The sequence below is a fragment of the Homo sapiens genome, chromosome 20, assembly GCF_000001405.40.
Source record: "Homo sapiens chromosome 20, GRCh38.p14 Primary Assembly".
Classification (NCBI taxonomy): domain Eukaryota; kingdom Metazoa; phylum Chordata; class Mammalia; order Primates; family Hominidae; genus Homo; species Homo sapiens.
The window spans coordinates 50,232,220-50,247,898 of record NC_000020.11 but is presented as its reverse complement, the minus strand read 5'-3'; the positions used below and the strand labels follow the sequence as shown (position 1 = coordinate 50,247,898).

At 52.1% G+C, this 15,679-nt stretch overlaps 1 long non-coding RNA gene across 1 annotated transcript; it reads left to right on the top strand.

Annotated features, from left to right (window-relative positions):
• The first annotated feature begins 407 nt into the window (after positions 1-407).
• LOC107985386 (uncharacterized) lies at positions 408-9,445 on the top strand. Its single transcript, XR_001754718.2, has 3 exons — positions 408-505; positions 5,052-5,206; positions 9,174-9,445. It is a non-coding gene; the product is annotated as an uncharacterized LOC107985386 (long non-coding RNA).
• The last annotated feature ends 6,234 nt before the right edge of the window (positions 9,446-15,679 follow it).

Sequence of the window (15,679 nt, the reverse complement as noted above, 5' to 3'; positions counted from 1 at the left end):
ATGGTTGCGGCTGTTGGTCAGACCTCACCGTGGGTGCTGGAGAAGGGAGGAAAGAAAGGGTCTTGATGAAGGGACTGTCACTGGTGACTGGTTCTGGAAGGGAGGTGGAGGCAGCAGCCAGCAAACCGACCCTTCACCTCCTTACCTGCTCCCCTTATCAGCTAGCTGCCTTCTGACCCTGGAGGGAGGAACTCTGGCTCCTATTCCATAGATGAGGGAACTGAGGCTCAGAGAAGCTTCACACCAACTCCTGTCCTCCAAGGGAAGGCAGCAGGGATCGTGGTGATGTTCTGGGAATGGGTGTGGCTGTTCCCAGGGAATGGGGATCCTCCCATCCCAGCAAAGGACTATCCAGCTGCACTCAGACCTCCTGGATTCAAATCTGTACAATTAGACCCTTAGACCCTCTGTGCTTCAGTTTCCCCAACTGGAGATAATAGCAAGGCCAACCTCATCTGGTTGTTGTGAGGATTAAATCCATCACCTAATGAGAAGCTTCCTGAAGGTACGTAGTAGGCTCTTTCCTCCCTCCCCTAGATGTTGACAGATCCTTCCCTGAGTCAGTGGAAGATGGGGAGGCTGGGATGTGTCCCACCTTGCCAGGGGTAGGTGGCTGACTCTGTGCCCCCATCATCTCCCCTACCCACACAGGCTTCTGGGAAGCTGCAGCTGGTCCCCAGGCTGTCCTGACCCCTGGGCTGGGTCCCCAGGATCAGCACCCCCAACTCCACACCTCCAAAGACAAACGCAGACACAACTCAAGGCCTGTAGTGTGGCTGGTTGCTTTGCAATTATTAATAATTTCCTCCCTCCGTCCCTCCTGCGGACCTGCTCAACCAGTCTCCCCACCAGCACGGAGCAGGCCTGACATTTGAACCAACTATTATTCTCTCTCCCTTCAGGGAGAAGCCAGGAGGGAATGTGGGCCTGTGTCCTGACGCTGCGCGGGGAGAGGCAGAGGCCGCCCACAGGTCCCCCTTTCAGTCCTGGGTGCAGCATCCAAGCTCCGCCGTACCCCGTGGCAATGGGCTCATTGCCCCTTTCCTGAAGACCAGGAGAGAGAGAGAGAGAGGGAGGTTGATTAAGCCCCTGCCAAGCAGCAGACAGGTTGGAAAATCCTCTTGCACGGAGGCAGGAGTGGAGGGTGGTTATGAGTCAAACTCAGGGTCTGGATTCCTGTCCTGGCTCTGCCCTTTCCTCGCTGTGTGGCCTTGAACAAGTCGTTTCACCTTTCTGAACCTTCTTTTTTTCATCTGCCAAATGGAGGGATGAATTCCCACGTTGCAGAATCCATGAGGTTTAAAAAGCCCCAGGCCCAGTGCCCAACAGGGTACACGGGAGAACAGTTCTCTGGGTCCAGAGGCTGCTCACAACCAGGAAGCCAGAGGGGCTGGGCCAAAGTGACAGCCAGCACTGCCCTGAAGACAGAGTCCCTAGGCCTCCAGGGGACAAAGCCTAGAGGGCCAGTTCCATCTCCAACTACATCCAAAACCGGTCAGTGGGCACAGGCCAGGGTATATGCCCCCCTAATTGCTCCCTGGCTCCATTAGTACCATGTGTGGCTCCTCCTGCAGCACCCAGCACACCCAGCCAGACCCAGAAAGGCTGATGCTGCCCCAGGTGCCCACCCTGGCTGGAGGGAGAGGGCAGCTCAGGCCGATGAGTCCTGGAGTAGTGGGGAACAACTAAGGGCCTCTGAGCAGGGGCAGGACCCGAGCTGGGAAGGTTGAAAGGTCAAGATCTAGCATTCGGGACCTCGCCATCTACCCTTTGACCCTTGTGGGATAGTAGAATGGCCAAGAGCCCAAGTCGCCTGGGTTCAAACCCAGGCTTCGATATTTGTAGCTGTGTTGCTGTGAGCAAGTTACTGGGCTTTTCTAACCTATCTAACCTCAACTAACCTATCTGTAAAATGGGACTAGTAATAGCCTACAACTGTCAAGAGTTGAAATGCAGCAATGACTTGTAAAGTACGTAGTACAGTGCCTGGCACTTAGTAGGTGTTCAGTAAGTGGATGCTGGTAGGAGTTTCTGCATCTACCAGGCAGTTTCGCTTATCATGCAGTTTCCTCTGTCTGGCAAGCCCATCTCCATACTTCTCCTCGTAGGAACTCCTATGCATCCCTTAAGGCCCTGCCCAAATAGTCCCACCTCTGAGGAGCCATCACTAACCCCTTACTTAAACAAACACAGGAAGCCCTTTCTTCTGGGCTCCCTGCCACCACATACTCCTCCCACAGCCTGGCCACACTGTCGGCAGATGAGCTGATGCCCGTGGGGCTCACCAGTGGATTACCAGTGCCTGCCTGGCGTGGAGAGCTGTGAATGAAAAGCTGCCCTCGCCTTAGTCAACTAAAAACAGAACACAAAAATCCCCACGGATGTGGAAAGAGCTTATAGTCTCCAGCCAAATTTTGAAAATGTTCTCAGGCCACCACCAGAGCAAAGGACAGTGCAGATCCCAATATGTAGAATTCAGGGTTGAAAATTCCTTTAATCAAATCAGTTATAGATTTTAAAAGGGAAGGGGCCAGAATACCATGTGGCTAGGTAAGAAGAATGAGGCAGCTCTGTGTGCTGATCTAGAACAGTCTCCAGGATAAGTTGTCAAATAATTAAAAAAAAAAAAAAATGAGGAGCAGAACACTGTAAGAAACATATTGGCTACCATTTGTGTGGAAGGGTGGGAGGGAGGCAAGGACAACATAGATATTTGTTTGTATGTACATAAATTAACTCTGGCCAAAATAGCAGGTTAACAGTGGCTGCCTCTAAGGAGGGGGAGTCAGAGGCTGGGGAAAGGAGAGAGTGAGGAATTGCCTTTCATTCCATACCCCTTTCTACTTTTGGATTTTGTAGCATTTGCTCACCATAGCTATTCAAAAATTAGCACATAAGCACATGTTTAGGGCATTGGAATTCACATACTCCAGCAGCAGGCCCTACCTGATTCAGGAACACTTCTCAGCACCCCTGACAGGCTATCCTGCTTTGAATGCTCCCAGTGACGGGGAGCTCAGTACTTTACCTGCCAGCTAATCCATCCAAAGGGTAGCTTGGAAGGATGGATTTGGGCTCAGTGACAGGAAGCAGGAATGTGCTTCTGGAGCCACACACAGGTGCCTCTTTCTTGCCCCTGACGTTGGGCAGAGATGTGACTGCCTGCCTAAGAACCTGCTCAGAGGGCCTGCCTGTCCCTGGGCCCAGGTGGGAGGTAGGCAGGAAGGTAGGGTGTGCTCTGCTGTGACTCAGGCCCCACGGGTGCCCGGAGCACAACCAGCTTCCCAGGACACAGCGCTGTGACTCAGGGCCACACAGCAGGGCCAACCCAGGTGGCAGCTGGCGGGCCACCAGCACACCCGCACCCTTCCCAGCCTCAATCCCCAGCAGGGCCTCTGTTGCCAGCATAAACCACCTCGCTCACCGCTGTCCCCATCCACAGAGGATGGAATGAGGAAATGAAGACCCTGGCACCAGACAGCCTGGGTTCAAATCCTGCCTCTGCCATTTGCTGGCTGAATGGTCCAGTGAGCCTGAGCCTCAGTTTCTCCATCCATACAAAGGGTGAGCCATGCTGCCTCGCCTTCCTCATAGGGTTGCCACGAAGATGCTGAGTTCATCCGAGAAAGGGTCCTGGATCAGCCCGGGCAGAGTCTTATGCAAATGTAAGCCATTATTATTGTGGGTGCCCAGCCAGATGTGGTGGTCACTGACATCGGAGCCTCGAAGGAAGCTTGGGTGCCTCCGCTCACCCCGCTGGCCTGGTCAGCAGGCCCAGGAGGAGCAGGCCTCCTGGGGCACCTGGCCTTGGGAAGGTTCAGGGACTCTAGGTCCCCCTGCCAGGTTATGAGCTCCATGACAACAGAAATTTTTCCCTCTCTCATTAGTGGGGCCCAGTGCCTGGTCCTGGTGCCTGGGATAACGGCTGGCACACAGGCAGAGTGAGCCTCACAGACCTGCAACGCATGCCTTCACACAGGGCCCCATGCTTGGATTAATGCCGTTACCTCTTGAAATTCTTAATTTTGAACAAGGACCATCACGTTTAATTTTGCACACGACACTGAACATTCTATAGCTGGTCCTGTACAGAGTTGACAGCCAGTACACCTTTTGGAATGAATGAATGAATGAATGAATGAATGAATGAATGAATGCCGCCCTGAGGTGTCATTTCTCTCATTTTACCTCTGAGGATCATGGACTCCAAGCCCCCTTTTACAGGCGGGAGAACAAAGGCTCATGAGCTGAACAGACTCACCCAAAATCATCCAGCATGAATCCAAACCCAGACTTGTCAGGCCCCAAAGCCCCAGATCCCGTGGCCTCCTCTGGCATGTCAGGGGCAGCTGATCTGTGCCTGGGGAAGGCACAGAGCAGTGGATCTCAGGGCAATGAGGCCAAACAGCAAGCTCTACCCCACTATCAGAGCTGCTCTGCTTCCCTTTTCTCAGCTGGGGAAACTGAGGCCCAGTTCTGGGTAGCACAGGCCCAGCTTGGCAAGGGTGCCTGCCTGGGAGGCATCCTGGCTGGATGCCCGGACAGGGGGCGGGGGCCTCTGTGAATCGCTCCTCAGTCCCCGCCGACCACAAGCGGGTTGGGTGAAAGGCGGCTGCTCCCCGCCCGCTTCCCCGCCAACGTGGGCCCGAACAATGGGCCTTTGTGCCCGGCGTGGGCGCGTTGTCAAGGTGCGCAGCCCTGGCCCTGGGCCCTGGCCTCGGCCTCCATGAGGGCAGAGGGGCCAGGCCAGGGGGTCTGCGGGGGCCGGGAAACCCAGCAGAAGAGAGAGCAAGTCTGAGATTCTCACAATGAACGAAGGCCAAGGCACAGGGTAAGAGTGACAGGCACCCAGGGTCACACAGCACAAGGACATCAGCGGCAAGTTGGGAACCCAGGACTCCAGCCTTCCTCTCGCTGTGGCCTGAGTGTCCCCGCTGCAGCAAGCGGCTCTGGCATCCCTGCAGCTGAAACCTCCCCTCAGGAGGTCAGCAGGGCTGGAATCATTCCTCTTCTCCCTTCTTACACTCCCACGCCATGTCTTCCTTCCTCAGGGGCTCAGCCCAACATCCCCCGCCCATCTCTGGGAGGACCCCCAGATGGCATCAGCCACAACATTGCTCGGAAAATGTCTCCCGTCCACAGGTCCCTCCTGACCAGCTCTTCTCCCCAACAAGATCGTGTGCCCCTTGGGAAGCCACCTGGTCAGGTAGGCACTGCCATGAGCCCCTGTTACAGGAGAGAACTGAGGCTCCCAGCCGGGCAGGGCTCACTCGAGGTCTACACCCTGGATGCAGATGACCCTCACCTCTGTCCTGTGTGGGAGCCACAGGAGGAAGGTGGGGACAAAAGACCAATTCCTGCTGTTTAGCCACCCACCTTCTGGAGGGAAAGGCAGAGAAGTCAACCGCAATAGTAATAATAACAAGAGACCGCCAGGTATTGAGCATCTAGTAAGTGCTTTATGTCCGAAATCTCATTTCATCATCATAAAATTGCTGGGAGGCAGGTATTATTATCATCCCCATTTTACAGATGAGGAAACTGAGGTTCAGGTGAAGCAACTTGCCCGAGGTCAATCAGTTAATAAAGGGGTTCAAATCCTAGCCAGGTCCACTGAATGTCTGTGCTCACTCAACCCTCACAACCGTCTTATCAGGCAGGGTTGATGTTCCCAAATTACAGATGAGGTAACTGAGGCTCCAAGCCGCAAAGTCACATGCCCAAGGTCACACAGCTAGGAGGGGGGACCAGGGATTTAAACCTGGGCTTCTGGCCCCCAAGGCCCCCGTCTTGTTTCTTTCTTCCCCCACCATAACCAAGTTCCCTAAAAGTCCCTTGAAACCATCTGTGCCACCAGCCCCTCGTCCCCATCTCCCACCACGATAGACCCAATGTCCACCCTGCACCTCGGCCAGTCCTAGCTGGCCTCACCCAACGCATAACGGATATTCATGAAAAGCCAAAAAGAGAGTCCCAGTCGGGAATAAGCTAAATGTCCAGGAGCAGAAGCCTGAGGAAGAGCACTGTGGTCTGTCCCCACGACAAAGCCCACAGGGACAACCAATAGATGCACCCAAGCCACTCCGCCAACGGGGACGGAACTCCAGAACAGAACATCGGGTGGAAAAAAAGCAGGATGCAGAAGCAAATGTACAAGGGACGCCATCTGTACAATCCCACCCACAACCCAAAGCAGCTCCCCGAATCCCTCAGGGATTCCACGTGTGTCTGTGTGTCTGTGTGTGTGTGTGTGTGTGTGTGTGTGTGTGTGTGTGTGTGTGTAAAAGTCTAAAGATGTCCTACAACTGCTTTGGGAAACTGGCCATAGCTACAAAAACCAAGCATGTGCATATCTCATCATCTAGCAATTCCATTCCTGGATATAGACTAAGGGAAATGCCTGCTTATGTCTACTGTCGGATGTGTAAGAGAAGGTTCACAGCAGCACTATTCAAAATAGTGGAAACTGGAAACAACCCCCATCTCTGTTGACCATAGGGTGATTCAACAAACTGTGGTCTAGTTAGACAATGGAATACTCCACAGCCGTGAAAACAGACACAAAACTTGGATAGACCTCATTGGATGAGTTTAAGTGAAAGTGCCTGATACAAAAGAGCACAGACTGAATGGGCTCACTTATATGAAGTTCAAGAATAGGCAAAACCAATCTATCGTAATAGGAATCAGACCAGTAGTTACCTTTGAAGGGAGCCCCTGGAGGCTAGGAATGTTCTACATCTTGATCTGGTGTGATCCCATGACCATCAAACTACAATTAAGATTTGTGCATTTCGAGGTCAGGAGATGGAGACCATCCTGGCTAACACAGTGAAACCCCTTCTCTACTAAAAATACAAAAAAATAGCCAGGCGTGGTGGCACGGGCCTGTAGTCCCAGGTACTCAGGAGGCTGAGGCAGGAGAATCGCTTGAACCTGGGAGGCAGAGGTTGCAATGAGCCAAAATCGTGCCACTGCACTCTATCCTGGGCGACAGGACGAGACTCCGTCTCAAAAAAAAAAAAAAAAAGATCTGTGTGTTTTACTGTGTGCATTTACACCTCCATCAAACCAGGTGGATACCTTCATCAAACCAACAAGAGAAGGATAAAGACACACAGGGAAATCACGAGCATCAAATCCAGGTTGCAGTGACTGGTTTTTTTGTTGTTTATTTTTTGTTTTTTGTTTTGTTTTGTTTTGTTTTTTGAGACGGAGTCTTGCTCCGTCGCCCAGACTGGAGTGCGGTGGTGCAATCTCAGCTCACAGGTTGCAGTGACTTCTAAGAGAGATCCTTCTGGGCAGGGATATGGGGGGATCCCCTATATTGGGGTGGTTCCTTTTAAGGAAGAAAAGAACACAGAAGAACATAAGTTTCCAGGCAGTTGAGTGATAGCTGCGTGGAAACTTCTGTTCTTATCCTTTAAATTTTTTTGAATAGTAAAACATTAAAAATATTGAGAATCAAACCAGAAACAAAGCCTATTTCCACGGCTTCTCCTGCTCCAGAGCTCACAGTGGCTTCCTCCTGCCTCCGGGCTGTGGCCACCCTCCTTTGCATGCCATTCGAGGTCTCATCCTGGTCCTCAACCCGTCTTTCCAGCCTCTCACTCACCCGTCCCCACCAGCCAGGCTGGTCTCCTCACTCTTCCCCTAACACGCCTTAAACATTCCCATCTCCACGCCTTTCCTCCCACCTGGAATGCCCTCCCCATTCCTGTCTACTTGCTCTGTGCCAGGCACTGTGCCGAGTGCTGTAGGCTATTAACTCCTGAAATCAGGGGCTCGGCCATGGGGAAATTGGGGCATCACTTGCAACCACAAATAATCTCCATCATCACCCCCCAAAGCCGCCCAAGTAAACCAAGTAAAAAGAGTAGTGCTGCTAAGCCCACAAATTCAAGACAAATCACCCCATAGCCCAACCATCCCCTAAGACCCTCCAGTATAGAAATTCTGGCCCACCACTGGATTTAAAACTCACTCATCTCTTGGGATTGTGTCTTTAACATTCCCATTTTACACAGGGGGAAACTAAGGCTTAGAGAGGGCAAGTAACTTGCTTGAGACACTCAGCAAAGAAAGACTGTCTTTCTCTTGAGATCTTTTCCTCCTCCAAGATCTCCCAATCATGACTGACCCCCAAGTTTGTCCCTGCCTCAGAGCCTTTGCACTTGCAGTTCCCTCTGCCTGGAATGTCCTTCTTCCAGCTATTCCCAGGCCCAGCTCCTTCTCATCATTCTAGTCTCTAAATTCGGCCAGAGTCATCCTCCCAGATCCCCACCCTCATCCCCAGTGCAAAGCAGCCCCACGCCTTTCTCTATCACACAACCACAACTTAGCACCATACAATTGTTCCGCATGTTTATTCACTCATATCCATATCATCTGTCACATGCACACCGTCCTAGAACATAAGCACCAAAAGGCGGAGATTGTGTCTATCTTGTTCGGTGTTGTGTCCCAGGGCCTGGTGTTGTAGGCACTTAGTAAATGAGTTGGAAGAACATAGATCAGTGGCTGTGCCTTCCCAGGGCCATGCAGTGAGGAAAGGACAGAGAAGGGGATCAGTGACCAGCTGAGGCCAGATCTCCACTGAATCACTCAGCTCTGTTTAGGTTCAAGGCTGCAAGGGGTCCAAAGAAACAGGAAAGAGGCTGGGCGTGGTGGCTCACGCCTGTAATCCCAGCACTTTGGTAGGCCAAGGCGGGTAGATCACTTGAGGTCAGGAGTTCGAGACCAGCCTGGCCAACATGGTGAAACCCCATCTCCACTAAAAATACAAAAATTAGCTGGTGTGGTGGTGCAGGCCTGTAGTACCAGCTACTCGGGAGGCTGAGGCAGGAGAATCGCTTGAACCTGGGAGTCAGAGGTTGCAGTGAGTAGAGATTGCGCTATTGCACTCCAGCCTGGGTGACAGAATGATACGCTGTCTCAAAAAAAAAAAAAAAAAAAACAGGAAAGAGAGGCAACCCCCAGCAGGGCCCCGCAGCCCTGCAGCTCCAAGCCACTACCCATCAAATGGGCTGGAAAAGCCCCACGACCTACCAAAAACATAATTTTTGTTACTGTTTTTGAGTTTTTATAATAGTATAGTTTTGCTTTTCTAGTATTGTTAATTTTTAGTTTGCACTTTTATCATTGTAGTTAGCTCCATTTTTCCCGATGTTTAGCATTTTCACAGATGCTTGCAAAGCTCCTATGGCCAGGTGGAAATGAGGACAAAGACCCTGAGAGACAGGAAGAAGGAGACCGAGACAGAGGAAGCGGGCGGTGGCGGAACAGAGAGAAATAAGCGGATATGAAGAGACAACAGGGCTGGAGAGACACGGGGAGAGTGACAGTGACAGAGATGGAGAGAGCAGAAACCAAAACTCAGACAGATCTGACTCCCGCATCGCCTTCCGTAACGTGAGCCTCCATAACCATCAAAATCACAGGGTTGGGTGAGCATTTGCTAAGTGCGGACACTGTGCTAAACGCTTTTCTGTGAACGATCATGCTTGATTCTCACAACCTCCCTGTGAGAGGAGGGATCCTCTCATTCCTTGTTTTAAAGATGAGAAAACCGAGGCACAGAGAGGTTGGCCGGCTTGCATTCCATCACACAGCCAGCAGGCGGTGAAGCCAGGTGTGACCTCAGGCCCGCCCCAGACCCAAGGCTGAGCCATTCTCTCCAGTCTTGGAGTGTCTAGGTTTGTTTTAGGGCAGCTCTTCTCATTTTCAGCTGTGCTGGTGAATCCCTTGCAGACTTGTAAAAATGTCCATCCTAGGCTGGGCGCTGTGGCTCATGCCTGTAATCCCAGCACTTTGGTTGGGAGGCTGAGGCAGGTGGATCACTTGAGATCAGGAGTTTGAGACCAGCCTGGCCAACATGGCGAAACCTGTCTCTACTAAAAATACAAAAATTAGCCAGGGATGGTGACGTGCACGTGTAATCTCAGTTACTCGGGAGGCTGAGGCAGGAGAGTTGCTTGAACCAGGAGGCAGAGGTTGCGGTGAGCAGAGATCACGCCACTGCACTCCAGCCTGGGCAGCAGAGGGAGAGCCCGTCTCAAAAAAGAAAGAAAGAAAATGTTGGTCCTGATTTAACAGGGTTTTGGGGTAGGGGGGACCCAGACCCTGCATTTCTAATAGACTCCCAGGTAGGGTCAATGCTGTGGCTCCCAGGCCACACCTTGAGCAGTGAGGATCTAGAGGAGTCCAGTACTCTAGGACCCTTTGGCCACACCGGGGACAGGGAGAGCCCAGAAGCCTCTAGCCAGTCCAGCCACCATCCATACCCATCCAACCAGTCCAGCCACCATCCATACCCACAGGCCTTGGGGTCATGCTGGCCCCTGCGGTTCAGTTTCCCCTTCTTGGTACTTCCTGTTGATCCCGGGAATTCCCCATAAGCTGACTGTCCTGCACACAAAGGCGGCTGCACAAAGATGTGCATTGTGGCATTGTTTATAGGAAGGGCAAGTTGGAACCACCTAAATGTCCACCAGTAGGGTACTGTTAAATACACTAGGATCTGTGCAGCTATTACAAATGATGGTGGCAGCCGGCACAGTGGCTCACGCCTGTAATCCCAGCACTTTGGGAGGCCGAGGTGGGCAGATTGCATGAGCTCAGGAGTTCAAGACCAGCCTGGGCAACATGGCAAAACCCCATCTCTACAAAAAATACAAAAATTGGCTGGGCGTGATGGCTCACACCTGTAGTCCAGCTACTCGGGAAGCTGAGGTAGGAAGATGGCTTGAGCCCAGGAGGCAGAGGTTGCAGTGAGCCAAGATTGTGCCACAGCATTCCAGCCTGGGCAACAGAGTGACACCCGGTCTCAAAAATAATAATAATCATAAATAAAATAAAAATGATGGTGGGTCAAAATTCAAAATATATATAACTTTTTTTTTAGAAGGAGTCTCACTCTGTCGCCCAGGCTGGAGTGCAGTGGCGCCATCTTAGCTTACTGCAAGCTCCGCCTCCCGAGTTCACACCATTCTCCTGCCTCAGCCTCCCAAGTAGCTGGGATTACAGGCACCCACCACCAAGCCTGGCTAATTTTTTTCTTTTTTTGTATTTTTAGTAGAGATGGGGTTTAACTGTGTTACCCAGGATGGTCTCGATCTCCTGACCTCGTGATCCCCGTTGATGCAGCAATTCCACTTCTAGGATGTACCCTATGGATATACTTGCACAAGAACACAGTTGCAATTTGTCATGGCAAAAGCCTGCAAGCCACCATCACTAAGGAACTGGCTGTTTACATCCTGCTCTGTGTCCACCATGGAACGCCACACAGCCTTGAAAAAGGAGGGTGCTCTCTACGTACTGATATCATCAAGATCTACTGTTGCTGAAAATCACAAGGCACAGAACTAGTGTGTAGAGTCCTCTGATATCTGTAAGAAAGCAAAGCAAATACATGCTTTTGCCCACATGTTCACAGAACCCTTCTGAAAAGCAACACAAAAGACTGTCACAGTGAGGAGCTGAGAGGGTGAAGACAAATGTAAGAGGGAGACTGGCTTTTCACTGCACGCTTGTTGTACCTTTGGTATTTGGTGCCACATGGTATTATCTATGGACAAAATGAGTTAAAGTTATACACGATGCGCAAGTGCTCCATTTGTGGATATAGGAAAATGCTTGTGATAAAGTATTGAGAGAAAAGAAGATGGCCTAATTTATATAATGCATGATTCACATATATCCATGAGCTGTCTCTGTAAGTATATCCCACATATATCTGTAACTATAGAGAGAAATGTCTAAAAATACTATCAGCAAATTAGCAAATGAAGTTGCTACTATTCACGCACTAAATGCATTGATTCATTTCCTGACAACAACAGGGCAAGGTGGACAGACTGCTATTATCCTCATCGCACAGATGAGGAAACAGAGGCTCTAGAAGTGAAGTTACCTGACCAAGGGCTCACAGCCAAGGGGAGGCAGAGCTGGGATTTGAACCTCAACCACAGGACTAGAGATGCCTCTCAATTGCAAATTGGGTAGTGTCTCTTTTTGCTTTGAATTTTCAGCATTCTTAAAAGTTGAGCCAATGAACCCAAGTCTCTCTCTCCTTCTACTGCCACTTTACTTTTAAACAAGACTTTTCAGAAAAAACCCTAAGAACATCCCATGTCCCCCAAGTCAGCAGCCCCCGTTTCCTGGCACTCACATCCCCAGGGAATTCCCCTGGCAGTTCCTGGTATAGGAAACCATGAGAGTGGTTTTTAAAAAAAGTCAAGCAATGCAGTGAGCCGGGATCGCACCACTGCACTCCAGCCTGGGCAACAGAGCGAGACTCCGTCTCAAAAAAAAAAAAAAAAAAAAGGAGTCAAGCAAGAGCCGGGAGAATGTTCCATGTCCCAGATAAAAGGACACTAAAGAGATGTGCCACCAAAGGCAGGGCCTAACCCTTGGTACCAGGAAAAATAAAGAAAAAAAACAGATGAAAAATGGTTATAAAGGGCACTTTGGAGCAGTCCAAGTCATTTGAACATGGCCTGGAGACTAGGTAATGTAATTGAATCAATGCTAAATTTCTCAGGAGTGATCTTGGCACTATGGTTACGTGGGAGAACACTCTTGTCCTTCGGAGGCACACGCTGAAGTAATTAGGGTGAAGGGTAAGGATGTCTGCAACTTACTCTCAAACAGCTCAGCAAAAATCACACAGAGGAAGACCAAGAATGCACATGGGGCCAGGTGTTCGCAGTCGGGGATTCTGGGGGAAGGGACACTTGGTGGCCCATTGTGAAGTTTTGGCATTTTTCTCCAAGTCTGAAATTTTTCAAAATAAAAAGTTGGGGGAGATCGGTAGTTGCCAGAGGCTGGGAGTAGGAAAGGGATTGATAACAAAGGAGGCACCAAGGAACTTTTTGCTGTGATGGAATATTGTGTATCTTGATGGTGCTGGTTATACAACTGTATACGTTTCTCAAGATTCATAGAACTGCACACCACGAAAGGGTGAATCGTGCTGTATATAAATTATATATCCATAAAAGTGACCTGAAAAAACAGTGGGAAAGACAAAGAACCCACGGGGCCCCCATGGGCTCTGGGTCCCGCCTTGATCCAGCCTCACCTGAGCCTGAAGTGGCCCCGAGGATTCAGTAACACAGAAGGGCTGCCCTCCAGACCCCAGGACCCACAGCCTGGCCTTGGGGAGCTTCCTTCTAAACCTCCCTGGCCTGAATCCAGAGCCTCGGTGCTTCCCCAGGGCCGGGAGAGATGCACTGAATGATTTCCTTGCTGGAAGAATCCTGGAGAAAGCAGTCTAGGTGCCCCTTGCGAAGCACTGGCAACCTCAGCGGAGATAAGGATCACTGCGTCCACCCCACCACCACGGGGTCACAGCCGGAGCTGCACAGGCCCAGAGGAAGAAAGCGACTTGCCTAAGGTCGCACAGCAAGTCAGGCAGCTCTGCTATAGATGGGTCATTCCGAAACTAAAGCTCCGAGCCCAAGATTATCCCATCCAACCACCCCTATTTCTCAGGTCAGAAGACCGAGGCCCAAGTCTGTGTCAGAGCACACATTAGCAATGTCTCCGGAGCCCCAGATGCTGCCAGCATGGTGGGTCTTGGTGTGGTCCCCACAGGCTGGGCAGTGGGGGGCCTAGGAGGGTGGGATGTGAACCTCCATTCCTGTCTGTCATCCTCTGTCATCTCCACAATCCCCTCCCAAGCTTCCTCTGCTCCCACCCATCAGGGCAGAGGGCTGGACACAGGGGCCATTTGGGGGTCCCACACCTGCCCACCCCCACTGCCCTGGGGAGCGCCCACATGGCATGGAGCCATGGATTCTGCCCAGCCCACGAAACTCACCCCACCCAGAACCTGTTTCAACTCCTCCAGCTCTCCTTGGCAGCCGCGGAGGCCTCATTAAGTGATGCCAGCACCTCCCACACACCCCCGAAGAAGGGGAGGGGGCACTGCCCAAGCAATGGAACTCTATGGCCCCATCGGAGGCCCCACGCCTCCCCCAGAGACCCCCAGGTCCGGTGATGGGCACCACAGAGACACAACGCCCATGCCAGACTCAGGCTGGGAAGCAGGGGCCTCAGTGTGAGATGCAGTCCGGGCCCTGCCACCTCTCTCCCTGGGCAGGCCTGCCTCGGCCCCGGGGAGCTGCTTAACCTCCTTAATTAACTGGCAATGATTAAGAGGCCACCTTGGGAGGCCCCTGAGGCCTCAAGGAGGGCTGGGGGCCTGAAATTGGGGGCAGGGCCCCCCAGTCATGGCAGGCTCAGAGACTTCTCCCACGTGGAACAGGGAGAAGGAGCCCCTACCCTGCACCTTAGGGTTCAGGGCAAAACAGCCCATCCTCCCTGCGTCAGCTGTGTGGCACTAGGAAAATGGCCTTACCTCTCTGTGCCTCGGCTTCAACCAAGAGGGAGGGCAGGGTGGCAGTGAGACTTGATTAATGACTGTTTGTGAGAAGGTCCCAGAGATGCCACTGATAACAGGCCCGGCTATTATTCTGGGAAGGCATCGAGGAGTGTCTGAGCCCATAATTACCGAAAGGATGAAAACAGTGGAACAGAGAAGGCTCGCCCAGCCCTGCTCCCTGCCCCCAACACCCACCCTCCTGCCCTGGCAGGGGCCCCTCCTCCGGGCAGGGAGACCCAGGAGAGGAGGCCTCAGCCCCAGCCTGGGCCCAGGCCTGCCAGTCCTCCTCTCCACACCTACATTTTTAAGCTCTTTCCATCCATTCCTTCACTCATTCATTCATTCATTCATCCCACGAATGTTTATTAAGCACCTACTGTGTGCTGGGCTGTGGGATACAGCAGGGAACAAGACCCACAGGGATCCTGCCTACAGTAGCTCTGTCCCCTGCAGGAGGCAGGAAATAGACAGGAAAATTCCAGCAAGGAAGCAGAACATTGAAAAATAAAAGCAAAACAATGAGGTGATGTGATACATAAGAACTGGGGGGCTTCAGTTCAGGTGCTCGGGGGGGCCACACTGAGGAAGTGAGGCAACTTTAGAGTTGAGGACCCATGGAGGAGATGGGGCTGTCATGAGGAGAGTGTTCCAGGCAGAGGGACAGCACGTGCAAAGGTCCTGGGGTGGGAGACTGCTGCTGGAGGAGGCTGGTGCAGGGGCAAGAAGGCAGAGTCATGGGAGGTGAGGCCAGGGAGGCAGGGGAGGCTGGGGCAGATCCAGCAGAGCTTCTTGGGGCACAGTGAGGAGCCCAGATTGCATCCTCGGGACGGAGGGCAGCCACGGGAGAATTCTCAGCATTGGAGGGACGAAGGTGGGATCCTCTCCCCACAGCAGCACACAGGGCCGTTCAATGCACACACGTTGAATCAAAATCCCAATGATGGCCAGGCACAGTGGCCCACACCTGTAACCCTGCCACTGCCCAGCACTCTGGGAGGCCCAGGTGGGTGGATCACTTGAGGCCAGGAGCTTGAGACCAGCCTGGCCAACATGGCGAAACCCTGCCTCTACTAAAAATACAAAAATTAGCCAGACACGGGGGTGTGTGCCTGTAGTCCCAGCTACTCGGGAGGCTGAGACAGGAGAATCACTTGAACCCAGGAGGCGGAGGTTGCAGTGAGCCGAGATCATACCACTGCACTCTAGCCTGGGCAACAGAGCGAGACTCTTTCTCCAAAAAAAAAAAAAAAAAAAATTCCCAATGGCTGAAGAAGACCCCAGTGATACCAC